This window comes from Homo sapiens, chromosome 18 (genome assembly GCF_000001405.40).
Source record: "Homo sapiens chromosome 18, GRCh38.p14 Primary Assembly".
NCBI lineage: Eukaryota > Metazoa > Chordata > Mammalia > Primates > Hominidae > Homo > Homo sapiens.
In genome coordinates, this window is record NC_000018.10 from 6032676 (window position 1) to 6049174 (window position 16499).

Below are 16499 nucleotides of genomic sequence, written 5' to 3' on the forward strand. Positions count from 1 at the left end.
AACTCAAACTCTGACCCAGTAAACAATTCTCCATTCTCCCCTCCTCCCAGCCCTGGCAAGCCCCACTCTACTTTCTGTCTCTATGATTTTGACTATTATAAGTACCTCATATGAGTGGAATCATAAAGTATTTGTCTTTTTGTTACTGGCTTATTTCATCTCACAGTTCATCCGTTTTGTAGCATATGTGCAAATTGCCTTCCTTTGTTAGGCTGAATAATATTCCGTTGTATGTATATGCCTCATTTTGACTTAATTTGTGACCTAACCTATGTTTTGTCCTGGAGAATGTTTCTTGTGCACTTAAGAAGACTGTATGCCGCTGTTGGGTAGTGTCCTGTATGTATCGGTTAGATAGCTGCTTCATTGTGTTAAGTCCTCTATTTCCTTATGTATGTGTGATTTTTCCATCCATTATTACCATATAACTGTCTACTTCTCCCTTCCATTCTTTCAGTTTTTGTTTTATATGTTTTGATGGTCTGTTATTAGGTGCACAAATGTTTATAATTGTTATATCCTTTTGTGGTATTAAATATTTTATTAATATATAATGTCTTTGCCTATTGTAACATTTTATGATCTATTTTCTTCTGGTATTAGCATAGCTACCTCTGCTCTCTTTTGGTAACTATTTGCATGAAATGCCTTTTCCATCTTTTTATTTTTAATCTCTTGTGTCTTTGGATCTAAAGTGAGTCTTTTGAAGACAGCATATAGTTGGATCTCGTTTTTCTTTTAAACCTATTCTGCCAACCTCTGTCTTTTGATTGGAGAGTTTAATCTGTTTACATCTAAAATAATTAGTGATAGAGACTTACGTCATCTTGCTACTAGTTTTTCATGTGCCTTACAATTGCATTACAATTATATTACATGTAATTACGATTACATTACTTGTAATTACGATTACATTTCTTGTAATTACAATTACATTAGTTTTGTTTTCCTACTTCCTATATTACTCTCATTAACGTTTAGTTGAGTTTTTGTAATGAAATGTTGCAAAAAATCCTTTTCCACTTTCTTTTGTGTATATTCTATAGCTGTTTTCTTTGTGGTTGCTATAGGATTACTAAAGTTACAGCACTTTAAATTTATATCAGCTTAAGTCCGATGACACACAAAAACTCTGCTCTCACCCTTTTTGGTTGTTGATGTTCCAAAATTATATCTTTATACACTGTATGCCCCAAACCATAAACTAATTATTTTAAATGCATAGTCTGTTAAGTTGTGAAAAAATATGGAGTTACAAACCATTGTTATACTAAGACTACCTATTATAGTTGTTTAAGGTATTTACCTTTATTGAGATCTTTATTTCTTCACATGGCTTTGAATCACTCTCTAGTGTCTTTTCATTTCAATGTGCAGGACTTCTTTGAGCATTTCTTGCAGGGCACGTCTGGTGGTTATGAACTCCCTCAGTTTTGTTTATAAGGGAATGTCTTAATTTCTCCCTCGCTTTTTTTTTTAATTATTATTATACTTTAAGTTTTAGGTACATGTGCACAATGTGCAGGTTAGTTACATATGTATACATGTGCCATGCTGGTGCGCTGCACCCACTAACTCGTCATCTAGCATTAGGTATATCTCCCAATGTTATCCCTCCCCGCTCCCCCCACCCCACAACAGTCCCCAGAGTGTGAAGTTCCCTTTCCTGTGTCCATGTGTTCTCATTGTTCAATTCCCACCTATGAGTAAGAATATGCGGTGTTTGGTTTTTTGTTCTTGTGATAGTTTACTGAGAATGATGATTTGCAATTTCATCCCTGTCCCTACAAACGACATGAACTCATCATTTTTTATGGCTGCATAGTATTCCATGGTGTATATGTGCCACATTTTCTTAATCCAGTCTATCATTGTTGGACATTTGGGTTGGTTCCAAGTCTTTGCTATTGTAAATAGTGCCACAATAAACATACGTGTGCATGTGTCTTTATAGCAGCATGATTTATAGTCCTTTGGGTATATACCCAGTAATGGGATGGCTGGGTCAAATGGTATTTCTAGTCTTAGATCCCTGAGGACTCGCCACACTGACTTCCACAAGGGTTGAACTAGTTTACAGTCCCACCAACAGTGTAAAAGTGTTCCTATTTCTCCACATCCTCTCCAGCACCTGTTGTTTCCTGACTTTTTAATGATTGCCATTCTAACTGGTGTGAGATGGTATCTCATTGTGGTTTTGATTTGCATTTCTCTGATGGCCAGTGATGATGAGCATTTTTTCATGTGTTTTTTGGCTGCATAAATGTCTTCTTTTGAGAAGTGTCTGTTCATGTCCTTTGCCCACTTTTTGATGGGGTTGTTTGTTTTTTTCTTGTAAATTTGTTTGAATTCATTGTAGATTCTGGATATTAGCCCTTTGTCAGATGAGTAGGTTGCGAAAATTTTCTCCCATTTTGTGGGTTGCCTGTTCACTCTGATGGTAGTTTCTTTTGCTGTGCAGAAGCTCTTTAGTTTAATTAGATCCCATTTGTCAATTTTGGCTTTTGTTGCCATTGCTTTTGCTGTTTTAGACATGAAGTCCTTGCCCATGCCTATGTCCTGAATGGTAATGCCTAGGTTTTCTTCTAGGGTTTTTATGGTTTTAGGTCTAACGTTTAAGTCTTTAGTCCATCTTGAATTGAATTTTGTATAAGGTGTAAGGAAGGGATCCAGTTTCAGCTTTGTACATATGGCTAGCCAGTTTTCCCAGCACCATTTATTAAATAGGGAATCCTTTCCCCATTGCTTGTTTTTCTCAGGTTTGTCAAAGATCAGATAGTTGTAGATATGCGGCGTTATTTCTGAGGGCTCTGTTCTGTTCCATTGATCTATATCTCTGTTTTGGTACCAGTACCATGCTGTTTTGGTTACTGTAGCCTTGTAGTATAGTTTGAAGTCAGGTAGTGTGATGCCTCTGGCTTTGTTCTTTTGGCTTAGGATTGACTTGGTGATGCAGGCTCTTTTTTGGTTCCATATGAACTTTAAAGTAGTTTTTTCCAATTCTGTGAAGAAAGTCATTGGTAGCTTGATGGGGATGGCATTGAATCTGTAAATTACCTTGAGCAGTATGGCCATTTTCACGATATTGATTCTTCCTACCCATGAGCATGCAAAACAGTGTGTAGAGGGAAATTTATAGCACTAAATGCCCACAAGAGAAAGCAGGAAAGATCCAAAATTGACACCCTAACATCACAATTAAAAGAACTAGAAAAGCAAGAGCAAACACATTCAAAAGCTAGCAGAAGGCAAGAAATAACTAAAACCTCCCTTGCTTTTAAAGGATGGTATTTCTGGATGAAAAATTCTTGGTTGACAGTATCTTTGTGTTTTTTAGTACTGAATATTGGCCCATTATCTCTGGCCACCAAGGTTTCTGACGAGAAATTTGAGGATAAGCTTAAGGATCCCTTGTATGTGATGCCTCTTTCTTGCTGCTTTCAACATTCTCTGTCTTTTGAAAGTACGATTAGTGTTTCGGTTTGGATCTTTGAGTTTCTCTTAGAGTTCATTGAGCTTCTTGGATGTTTATATTCATGTCTTCTACTAATTTTGGAAATTCTCAGCAATTATTTCTTTAAACATTCTCTATACCCCTTTCTCTCTTTCATCCTCTGAAATTCTCACAATGCATAAGCTGAATCTCAGACTCAATAATTTCTACTATCCTAACTTCAAGTTTGCTGATTCTGTTTTTTTTTCCTGCTCAAATCTCCCTTTGAAGCCCTCTAGTAAAATTTTCACTTCAGCTATTGTGCTTTTCAGCTTCAAAATTTCTTTTTGGTTTCTTTTTAGGTTTTCTATTTCTCTATTGATATTTCCATTTTGTTAATACATTGTTCTCTTGAGTTTCTCTACATCTTCCCCTACTTTGAACATCTTGAAGACAGTTGCTTTAAAGTCTTTGGTGGAAATCTCATCAGGCTCTTTTTCAGGCACATTTTCTTATTGACTTATTTTTATTCATTTGAATGAGCCAAACTTTCCTGTTTCTTGTAAGTTTTGTGATTACTTATTGAAAACTGAGCATTTAAATCTAAAATGTGGTGACTCTGGAAATCAGATTCTTTCCCCAGAGTTTGCTAATTTTTTATATTTAAAATTGTTGTTGTTTGATTGTTGTAGGCTGTCTCTGTGCCAAGGATTAGCCTGAGGTATAAACATAAGGTCTCCTTAGGTCTTTCCTGGGCCTGTACCTTTCCCGGGCCATACATAGTCATTTTCTAACTTCTCCATACACATGGTTGCTTTTGGATGTTTTAGTCTTTAATGTCTGGTCCCAAAAGAAGAAAAGAGAAAAATGACGGGAAGGGGGTAAAAAATAAAAGTGCACTGGCTTTTTATATTCCCTGAGTCACTTCAGTTGGTGGGGCTTGCAACAATGCGGGGAGATGTGACAACAATGCTCACCACCTCTTTGCACTTCTGTGATCGGAAGCAGCAATCAGCAGTCAGAGCACAGATCCCTGACCTTTGGAAGACAAGACCCTTTTTGCCCACCCTTGCTCCCACGAGCAGTGTGTAAGCTGCTCCAGGAACGCATGCATACCTGCCTGCCACAGGGGTGGGAGTGTGAAATGGGTAACTACTACTGTGCTAAGATAAGAGGTGGAACGACTGAACGTAACTGCAGTTTACCATGTTAACCACTATTTATTGTCCAAGCAAGCCTTTCTCTGGAAGTTGCAAGGCTTTGATAGACTCCAAGACTCTGGAGTTCCAAAACAATTGCATCAGACAGATTCTGCCAGTGCAGTTATTGTCTACAAAGGGAGGATTCCTAGTGATTCCTACTCCAGTATCTTCCAGAATCTTCTCCCAAGAAGCATCTCATTCTTGCAGTGGAGAAATTCATTAAAAAAGGCCACCACGCTCTACATGGAAATTTGTGCAGGGCACTTCCCTTGGAAGTATAATGCAAGACTAGAAACTTGATTTCTGTAAATCTCGGGTTAAATTAGCTTCACATCTACTAACAGGTGAAGTATTCTGCTTGCAGTATGCAAACAGATAACTGGTAGAACACAAATGTGTAACTATAGCCAACATAACTGCAACCAACTGTAGCCTCTGTTAACACAGGCTTAAAGGATTGTGGTTTAGAAAATTTTACTCTGTCCTTCTGCATAATGACATTTGAAATCATATAGGAGAGGCTTAATAATAAATATTAGGGAATATTTAGATGTTTGGCTAATGTATTAAAGTGCTGGTTGCTCTGAACAGGGAAATAAAAGGAGGAGTAGGCTCCTGATGAGTAATTGGCACTGGGAAGAAAGAAGTTGATAGGATAACTTGGAGAGAGGATAACGGGGTGAAATAACTCTTGCACCCACAGACAGGAGAATACGTACTTTGGAACAGGTTAAGATAAGTGGATAAAAAAGGAGTGGGAAGTATCTGTGTAATGTTCTAGTTCAATGACAGAGAGAGAAGGGCAGGGATACTGATTGAATATTTATGTCACAATGAGATTTAATCAATATTGATGCAGATAAAATAACTTACTTAGACATATTTTTAACAGAGATACCAGAAAAAAATTCTAGAGGATACTAGAAATCCATTTCTGGATCTTTTTTTTTTTTTTTTTTTTGAGACAGAGTCTTGCTCTGTCGCCCAAGCTGGAGTGCAGTGATGCAATCTCGGCTCACTGCAAGCTCCGCCTCTCGGGTTCACGCCATTCTCCTGCCTCAGCCTCCGGAGTAGTTGGGACTATAGGCGTCCGCCACCGCGACCGGTTAACTTTTTTGTATTTTTAGTAGAGACGGGGTTTCACTGTGTTAGCCAGGATGGTCTCGATCTCCTGACCTCATGATCCTCCTGCCTCGGCCTCCCAAAGTGCTGGGATTACAGGCATAAGCCACTGCACCTGGCCTCTGGATCATTTTTTGACTGGTAACCTGACTTGGTGATCCTAGTAAAAGACAGCAACATTGATGGGGGAGAGCGGCACTTCTGTTAAGAAGTATAGTGCAGCAATGTGAGGAGGCATCTAAGAGAAATAAAAAACAACAACAACAAAAATGCCTACATTCCACTGAACTACAAATATTATTCAAGAGAAAACTTGACAGTCTTTGCCTCATAAATAATTAGCAATTTTGTCACCCATTTTTGCATGTTATCATTAATTAGGTATTGTGGATTGAATGTCTGTGTTCCCCCAAAATTCATATGGTGAAATCTTAACCCCCTACGGTTTTTGGAGATGAGGATTTGGGAAGGAAATTAGGGGTTATATGGGGTCATAAGGGTGGATCCCTCATGATGGGATTAGTGCCCTATAAGAAAAGACACCAGAGAGCACCTACTCTCTCTCTTTCTTTCTCTCTCCCCCAACCTCCCTTCCTCCCTCTTCCCCAACCCTCTCTCCCCCAGCCCCATGCATACACATACAAAGAAGAGGTCACAGGAGCACACAGACAGATGGTAGTAGTCTACAAGCCAAGAGAAGAGGCCCCAGAATCAAACCTACCCTCCCCAAACTGTGATCTTGACCTTCTAGCCTCCACAACTGTGAAAAGTAAATTTCTGTTGATAAAGCCACCCAGACTGTGGTATTCTGTCTTGGCAGCCTGAGCTGACTAATACAGTTGCTATCTAGGATTGCCTGTGATTAAAACACTGAAGGAAAAATAAGAAAATTTTCTCTGCTTTTAAAAAGAAAATACGCTGCTCCACCCACATTTTAATGCTAGAGTCGGCTCTTTATCTTCCCACATATTCTCTAAGGACTATTCACCCCAATCCCTTTCTGAATGTCTGTGCTAAAGAAAAGAGCCTTCACTTTTTGAGTTTCCCCCAATTTAAACCAATGCAAATGAAAGGGTAAGGAAAGAGTGCCCTAGATCCTTTCTTTTGGATATTTCTCTTATTTGGAGTTGTGCAGATTCTCTTAGTTGACTGATATTTTAAAAATTAAGTATGCCAGTGGATTTATGCACACACATACACGCATACCCTCTTCCATCCTGTTTCCTGGGCCCTAAGCCTCTCACAGTGACACTTGACCAGCGTGGTTATCTCAAAGTCCCTTCATGCTGGGTAAGCTTCCGCCTTTCTAGAAAAGGGTCAAGTGTCTTTGAAACTAAACTCCAGTGCCTGGCTAACCAATGACTTTGTACCAATATCTAGAACTAGAATTAATAGTTGATTATGATACTGCTGATTGAAATAAATAAGTAAAAGTATCTGAAAAATTAGACGATGAAACAAAACTTACAATAATAAAAATAACACAATGTTCATTAGCTTAAGTAATATGATTATCGAGAATGTCAGGATAGCAGGAAAAATTATGTATTTTCAAAAACTCGTTTTCAAATATTAAACTTTTTTCATTCTCTCCCTTTCAACTTATAAGAGTAATGCATGTACAGTAGGAAACATGAGAAATTTCAAAAGGCCAGAAGAATATAGAAAGAAATTAAAAATACTTGGAATCTTACTTCTCAGAAATATACCCTGCAAGGTATTTTGAATTGTAGTTCATTTTTTTTTCCTGTGCAAATAAATAAATAAACTTTTAAAAATTCAACACAAGAGATCACATTAAAGATTTCCTCTAAACCAGTGGTCTTTCAACCAGAAGCAATTTTGTCCCCTTCATCCTGGAGATATTCAGCAATATCCAGAAGCACTTTTGGTTGTCACATCTTGGGGTGGGAGGGTTGCCTCTGGCATCTAGCGGGTAGAAACCAGGGATGCTGCTATATATCCTGTTCCAATAATTAAGAATTATCTGACCCAAAATGTCTATAGCATTGAGATAGAGATATCCTGCACCAATCCATTACAGAACCAAAAACTTTACTAATTACAGTCTACTCCATACTGCAAACAATTACTGAGTACCTGCCGTGGGTCTGTATATACAAAGATAAATATAATTCAGTCCCATCTCTGTTGAGTGTGGGTGATAGACAAGTACATAAACCTAAATGAGTAAACTTTTTACTCACATCTCTTTTGAGACAAGGAGTCCTTTGAGTGGCTTAAGTCACTCAGTGCTTGAAACCTTCATTTCAAGGTTTATGAAAAGAACCTACATTAGTCCTAGTCTGAGAAAGAGAGACACCTGAAGGTGGCAAGCCCCTAAACCATCCTATTCTTGGCTCCACTCGACCCTTATCCTGCCATTCCCATGGCTGGCCTTCTGCTCTCCACTCTCAGTTGTAGGGTCACAGGGGAGGAGATTAAGTCAACATAATAATATATTTACAAATCACATAATTTCTATAAAATTTGAGTTGTTTTTTGCCTTGATTCCTAGAATTTAAAAAAGTAAAACAAGAACAACAGCAAAACTTGTGATCTGTTCAGAAAATGTGTCACAACAAAGAAATAGCAGTGGCTGACACTTTTGACAGATTCCCAATCAGGAGTCAGGGGTTGTGCTGTTTCACCTCTATCACATTATTCAATCCTCCCAACCTGAAAAGATGGCATAGCTGGCCCCAAATCTCAGCAAGGACACTAAGGTCTGGAGATGGGGGCGGACTGCCCAGTACATGCAGTCTATCAGTGGTGGAACCAGGAGATCCCTGCCATTGGGCCTGCAGCTGTGGAGCCAGCCGCTTCTGGATCTACCTTACTGCCCAGGTGAGCATGCTGCAGAGTGAATCTCAGGCCATGCCCACCACATCTGCCATCTCGTCTTCACCAACTTGCTTCCAACAGGTGAGCACCCATTGGGGTCTTCAATGGACTGGCCCCCCCTAATTTCTCCAACCTATTAATCTTCTTTCTTCATTGTCCTTTTCTTCAGCTTAGGCTGAAATTGACTTTTTTTTTTTTTTTTTTGTCTTGCAAATGCTCCACATCCCCTTATTTCTCTGTCTTTTCTTTGTGATCATTTGGCAAAAATGGCAGTCGGGAAGAGCCTCACTACCTGCTCTTCCTGTGCGTGCATAGGCTGTCATGAAGGCAGAACGTGTCCACAAATGGTTCCTGCTTACCAAGCACAGAGAGGTCCAGCACTCGCAGCCACACTATATACCCTTGCTTTGGTTTACCTGCTTTTCTATGCGCCCAGTGGACTGTTTCATTCTTCTTTTATTTTTTTTAGATGGGGTCTCACCCTGTTGCCTAGGCGGGAGTTCAATGGCACAACTGTGGCTTACTACAGCCTGAACCTCCCAGGCTCAAGTGATCTTCCCATCTCAACCTCCTGAGTAGCTGGGACTATAGGTGTGTGCCACCATGCCTGGCTAATTTTTTTTTTGGTATGGATGGGGGTCTCACTACGTTGCCCAGGCTGGTCTTGAACTCTTGGCTTCAAGTGATCCTCCTGCCTTGGCCTCCCAAAGTAGTGGGATTATGGGCATGAACTACCACCCGGCCATCTGTGAACCATTTCGAACTTCCGCTTCCTTCAATATTCCCATACAGGTTTCCCCAACTGCCATACCTCCCCAAGCCCTCCCCACAGAGGATGTGGCCTCATGCTTTACAGAGAAAATAGAAGCCACCAAAGTGAGATACCTCACTAATTCAAAGTTTACAGAAGCCGTTCCTCCTCCCACCCAAGGTTAATCCCATCTCTTGAGTTGTCTCAGAAACCTTATGACCTCAATGACCCTTCTGTCTTGGGTAAGTTCAACCTCTCCTTCTCACCAGGATCCTTCCCATTGACACTGGAACACTAAGTGCCCTCACTTACAAAACATACACACACACATACGTGCACACACACAGACACATACACACACACCAAGCACGTAAATCCACACCTGCCTCCAGTCCTCACCCTCTCTCCCCTGAACTTCTCAGCCACTTCCATACCTCCCACCTACCCCACCCTCAATCACTCAATCTGACCCATGACTCTGCCACAGCTTTCACCAGTGTCCCCAAAGACCTCAATGTTATTCAATCCAACACAATGGGTTTTCCGTCCTACATGAGCCCTCAGCATTGTCCAGTACTGAGACCTCTTTTTCCTCTAGCTTTTTCTCTCCGTACTTGGGAAACAGTGGCCTTTGCCTCTCCTCCTGCCTTTCCAGTCAAACCCTTCTTCCTTTGGCCAAGCCTTTGAGTGTTAGTCTCTCAGGTCTTAGGTCTAGGCCTTTCTGGAACACCCTTTTGCTAAGCAATCACATCCAGATGCAGGAGTTCAACTGCCACCTCTGTGCACACTATCTGCAAATGTTAATCTCCCGCTCAAACCTCACTTCAGAGGTTCTGACCCATATCCTTGCTACTTGACATTTCCTCTTGGCTTTCTCAAAGGCCTCTCAAAATGGTACACATTAAGACGTAACTCAATATTCTCATCCCTTCTCCTGCTATCTCCAAATCCCAAACCTAATCCTTTTCAAGCTTCCTTATCTTAGTGAAAAGCACCCCCATCTATTCAGTTGTCCAAGCCATCCTTAATACTTCCTGTCTCACACCCCCATTATCCAAGTCCTGTTGATGCTCACCTCTGAAATACATCTTGAATGTATCCTCTTCATCTTTTCTATACCACTGCACAAGTCTGAGCATCATTACCTCCATCCTAGGACACTTCAGTGGGTTTCCAGCTGATCAATGTGTATCTGTTCTGTCCACTCCCTGATCATTTACTCTCCCTGCTTTAAACTTGTGGATGCCTCACCACTGTATTCAGAACAAAGGCCAGACTCTCCCTGTCTCGGTTCAATTTGAGACTTGCTTTCCTCAGAGCCACTCACTCTCTCCCCACAGGCAGTATTCCAGGCCTGGGATTCTACTGTTCACCTTGACAGGCCATGCATGCTGCTCTCCGTGCTAGGCTCTTTCTTCCCTCCCCAGGCCTCATCACCTGCTGCTCATCCCTTATATATTAGATCAGATATCACTTCCTCCAGCAATTTCATCTCAATTCCTCAATTATATTAAATATCTTTGGAATAAATAGGCTCTTAAGAGCCTCCTATGCAATCTTCATTATAGCACTGCCACAGGTGCAGGTTGATGTCTTTCAATACGGTCAATCGATTAATCTATCTGCCCCACTACAATGTAAGATTCAGTGAAGACAGGTTCGATACCTGGTTTGGGTAAGCAATGTACCCCAATGCCTAACACAGTACTTACTAAGTAGTAGATTATCTATAAATGTTTATTAAATAAATGAATGAATGAGCTCCAATACTTGTGCTCTTAACCACAATGCAAATACAGATCTATGTTTTTGAGTTAAATTATAGGAAAATGACTTTTTAAATCTCACTTCTCATGACCAGGATTTTCCAAAGCTTTTCCCCTAAAAAATCATGCACTTCTGTATTTCTTTCCTTTGACCTCACTACAGTTTGGTTGACTGTCTGAAATTCAGTTTTGCACACAGGGTACTTGCTCCATAAAATATATGTTGAATGGCTGAGCAAAAGACTTGAGTAAAAGGATCCTTTAGCAGGTTCATTATTTTATAATGTATATTCATTGAATCAAAGTTTAAATATGAATGTCTTCTCAAGAGCATTAGTAAGGGATAGCTACTTTTGTTTTTAGGGGACCTTGGGAGTAGGCAAGATTCGGAATTGTGTTTGGAATATAAGTGCTCAGATGACTGCTTTAAGAATAATCTGTATAAAAATGTGCTAAAAGAACATTAATATTGATATACAGCACTAGTTCTCTGAAGCAAAGTGAAAACACGTCGATGATTCCTTACCCTCTGATGAAAATACACATCTTTCATTTGAGTCTGTGTTCATGCCATGGTCACAAATGGATGTGGTGGGGAACTGCCCTATCTATCTCTTTTTTTGTCTCAAACTGGCATGTAAGAAGGTGTTTCTCAAGTGGAGTTAACTAACGTTGGAGACTCCAGCCTCTGCTGCCAAACAGGACACTAGCCAACATGCTGGCTTCCATGGTGAATAAGAAGTAGAGGTGTTGGTGCCAGTAGCCAGCCATGAGTTGTGTGGGACTATGAAGGTTATCTACACTCTCTGCACTGCAGTTTCTCCATGGTTAAAAGAAAAGAAAAAGAAAGGGGAAAACAGGGAGGGAACAAGGAAGAAAAAGAGGAAGAAGAGGAGGGGAAGAAAAAAATATGAGTCATCTTGGAGAGCTGTGGGAATAAGCACCATGAAGCCTAGCACAGAAGAGGTCTGCCCTGCCTTCACCATGTCTTCTTCCCATCCTTAAGTGGTTTATTAGAAGAGTAACTTTTGTACCTAAAGACCATAGAATTTTGCTTTCAAATAACTAAGCTATTTTTTCCAGTTCAACTCTCCACAATCTATTTTCCTGTGCATTTACTTTACATCTCCCCAGAAGACTTACTAAGTGTCTTAATAAGCCCTCAGGCCACCTGCTGGTGGACAACAGTTCTAGCTGACAACCACCACTATAGCTCATAAGCCTTGCATCCTTTTTTCCTTCCTTTCTCCATTTTTCTGACTAGTGCTTGGAAAAGAAGAAAGCAAAAACAATAGTGGCTTTGCAGTTTGTATTATTAAAGTACAGTTTCAGAAAAGTAACTTTGCACCAGATCATATACAGAGGGAACCCCATCAGGCTAACAGCAGACCGTTCAGCAGAAACCTTATGAGCCAAAAGGGATTGGGGGCCTACTTTCAGCACTCTTAAGTAAAAGATATTTCAACCAAGAATTTCGTATCTCACCAAATTAAACTTCAAAGGCAAAGAAGAAATAAAATCTTTTCCATATAAGCAACTGCTAAGGAATTTGTTGCATCTAGACCAGCCTTACAAGAGATCCTTAAGGAAGGTGTATTAATCTGTTTTCACGTGGCTGATAAGGACATACCTGAGACTGGGCAATTTACAAAAGAAAGAAGTTTATTGGACTTACAGTTCCACGTGGCTGGGGAGGCCTCATAATTACGGTGGAAGGCAAGGAGGAGCAAGTCACATCTTATGTGGATGGCAGCAGGCAAAGACGGTTTGTGCAGGGAATCTCCCATTTTTAAAATCATCAGACCTCATGAGACTCACCATCATGAGAACAGCATAGGAAAGACCTGCCTCCATGACTCAGTCACCTCCCACTGGGTCCCTCCCACAACATGTGGGAATTCAAGATGAGATTTGGGTAAGGACACAGCCAAACTACATCAGAAGCCTACACATGGAAATTAAAGAACAATATCTTCTACCACAAAAACACAGTTATGTACATAGCCCATAGACCCTAAAAAGCAACCACACAATAGGAACTACAAAGCAACCAGCTAACAACTTCGCAGTAGGATCAAAATCTCATATATCAACATTAACCCTGAATGCAAATAGTCTAAAACTCTCCACTTAGAAGGCACAGAGTTGCAAATTGGACAAAGAAACATGATAATTCCATCTGCTCTCTTCAAGAGGCCCATCTGACACATAATGACACCCACAGAATCAAAGTAAAGAGGTGGAGAAAGATCTATCATGCAAGCAGGAAACAAAAATAATATAAGAATAGCAGAGGTTGTTATTCCCATATTAGATAAAACAGACTTTAAACCAACAACAGTTAAAAAAAAAGTGGATGGCAAAGTAGGGTATTACATAATGATAAAGAGTTCAAGTCAACTAGAAGACTTAGCTATCCTAAACACATATGCACCCAACACTGGGGCACCCAGATTCATGAAACAACTACTTCTAGACCTACAGAAAGACTTACACCATCCCACAATAGTACTGGAGGACTTTAACATGCCACTGACAGTGTTAGACAGATCATCAAGGCAGAAAACTAACAAATAAATTCTGGACTTGAATTTGATAGTTGACCAAGTAGACCTAATAGGCATCTACAGAATACTCCACCAATCAAAACAGAATATGCATTATTCTCATTTGCACACAGAACACATTCCAAGATAAACTACATGATTGGCCATAAAGCAAGTCTCAATAAATTAAAAAAAATTAGTAATCATACCAACAGTACTCTCAGACCACGGTGGAATTAAAATAGAAATCAATACCAAGATCTCCCAAAACCACACATTACATGGAAATTAGAAAACTTGCACCTGAATGACTTTTAGGTAAATAACAAAACTAAGGCAGAAGTAAAAAAAAGTCTTTGAAATAAATGAAAACAGAGATACAACTTACCCAAACCTCTGGGATGCAGCACAAGCACTGTGAAGAGAAAAGTTTATGACATAAACACTTACCTCAAAAAGTTAGCAAGATCTCAAACTAACAATCTAATATCACATCTAGAGGAACTAGAAAAACAAGTATAAACTAACCCCAAAACTAGCAGAAGAAAAGAATTGACTAAAATCAGAGCAGAACTGAACAAAATTTAGACCCAAACATACATACAAAGAATCAACAAACCAAAAGTTAGTTATTTGAACAGATAAACAAGATTGATAGACAGCTAGCTAAATTAACAAAGAAACAGAAAATCCAAATAAGCACAATCAGAAATGACATAGATGACACTACAACCAATCCCACGGAAATAAAAAAAAATCCTCAGAGACTATTATGAACATCTCTATGCACACAATCTGGAAAATCTAGAGGAAACTGATGTATTCCTGGAAACACATAACCTCCCCAGATTGAATCAGGAAGAAATTGAAACCTTGAGCAGACCAACATCTAGTCCCAAAATTGAACTGGTAATAAAAATCTTACCAACCAAAAAAAGCCCTGGAGCAGATGGATTCACAGCCAAATTCTACCAGATGTACAAAGAAGAGCTAGTACCAATCCTACAGAAGCAATTCCAAAAAATTGAGGAGGAGAGACTGACTCCTCCCTAACTGATTCTACATAGCCAGCATCACCCTGATACCAAAATCTGGCAAAAACACAATGAAAAAAAAGATTTCAGGCCAATATACCTGATAAATATAGACACAAAAATCCTCAGCAAAATACTAGCAAACTGAATCCAGCAATACATCAAAAAGTTAATTCACCAGAATCAAGTAGGCTTCATTCCTGGGATGCAAGGTTGGTTCAACAAATGCAAATCAATAAATGTGATTCACAGCATAAACAGAATTAAAAACAAAAATCATATGATCACCTCAATAAATGCAGAAAAAGCCTTTGATAAAATCCAACATCCTTTCATGTTAAAAACCCTCAACAGACTAGTCATCAAAGGAAAATACCTCAAAATAATAAAAGCCATCTGTGACAAACCCACAGCCAACATCTGAATGGGCGAAAGCTGGAAGCTGGAAGCATTCCTCTTGAGAACTGGAACAAGGCAAAGATGCCCACTCTCACCACTCCTATTTAACATAGTACTGGAAGTCCTAGCCAGAGCAATCAGGCAAGAGAAAGAAATAAAAGGCATCCAAATAGGAAAAGAATAAGTCAAATTATCTCTCTTTGCTGACAGTACGATTCTACACCTAGAAAACCCTAAAGACTCTACCAAAAGCCTCCTAGAACAGGTAAACAACTTCAGTAAAATTTCAGGATGCAAAAACCAATGTAGAAAAATCAGTAGCATTTGTACACACCAATAACATTCAAGCTGAGAGCCAAATCATTTCAAATAGCTACAATAAAAATAAAATAGCTAGGAGTACCTAGGAGGTGAAAGATCTCTATAAAGAACTACAAAACACTGCTGAAGGAAATCATACATGATATAAACAAATGGAAAAACATTCCATGTTCATGGATTGGAAAAATTAGTATCATTAAAATGGCCATACTGCCCCAGGCAATTTACAGATTCAATGCTATCCCTATCAAACTACCAATGTTATTTTTCACAGAATTAAAAAATATAATTCTGAAATGTATTTGGAACCAAAAATAGCCCAAATAGCCAGAGTACCCTTAAGCAAAAAGAACAAAACTGGAGGCATCACATTACCCAACTTCAAATTATACTGTAAGGCAACAGTAATCAGAATAGCATTGGCTGGGCATGGTGGCTCACATCTGTCATCCCAGCACTGTGGGAGGTCAAGGCAGGTGGCTCACTTAAGGTCAGGAGTTCAAGACCAGCCTGGCCAACATGATGAAACCCCGTCTCTACTAAAAATTAGCCGGGTGTGGTGGCGGGCACCTATAATTCCAGCTACTAGGGACACTAAGGTGGGAGAATCGCTTGAACCCGGGAGGCGGAGGCTGCAGTGAGCCAAGATCACACCACTGCACTCCAGCCTGGGCAACCGAGTAAGACTCCATCTCAAAAAAAAAAAAAATCCCAAACAGCATGGTACTGGTACAGTGTATACCTCCAGCCATGTGATCTTCAACAAAGTCAACAGAAACAAGCAATGGGGAAAAGACTTTATTCAGTAAAGCTGGGATAGCTGACTAGCCATATGCAGAATGAAACTAGACCACTACATTTCACTATATGCAAAAATTAACTCAAGATGGATTAAAGATTTAAATGTAAAACCTCAGCATGGTGGTTCACACATGTAATTCCAGCACTCAGGGAGGCAGAGGTGAGGGGAGAGCTTGAGCCCAGGCGTTTGAGACTTGCCTGGGCAACAGAGGAAGACCCCGTTCTCCAAACAAAAGAAAAAAAAAGGCAAAATAGAAAAGAATCTTAGAAGAAGACCTAG

At 39.7% G+C, this 16499-nt stretch overlaps 1 protein-coding gene across 23 annotated transcripts in view; it reads right to left on the reverse strand.

The window, feature by feature from the left end:
- L3MBTL4 (L3MBTL histone methyl-lysine binding protein 4) overlaps nt 1-16499 on the reverse strand; it is a 460543-nt gene that overhangs the window by 77959 nt on the left and 366085 nt on the right. For 9 of the 23 annotated variants that reach the window (XM_047437914.1, NM_173464.4, XM_011525757.2 and 6 more), the window contains one exon: nt 14053-14079. The exons of the other annotated variants lie outside the window; for them this stretch is intronic. In XM_047437914.1, the coding sequence (XP_047293870.1) occupies nt 14053-14079 (27 nt within the window). The remainder of the gene's footprint in view (nt 1-14052; nt 14080-16499) is intronic. 23 annotated transcript variants of the gene reach the window in all.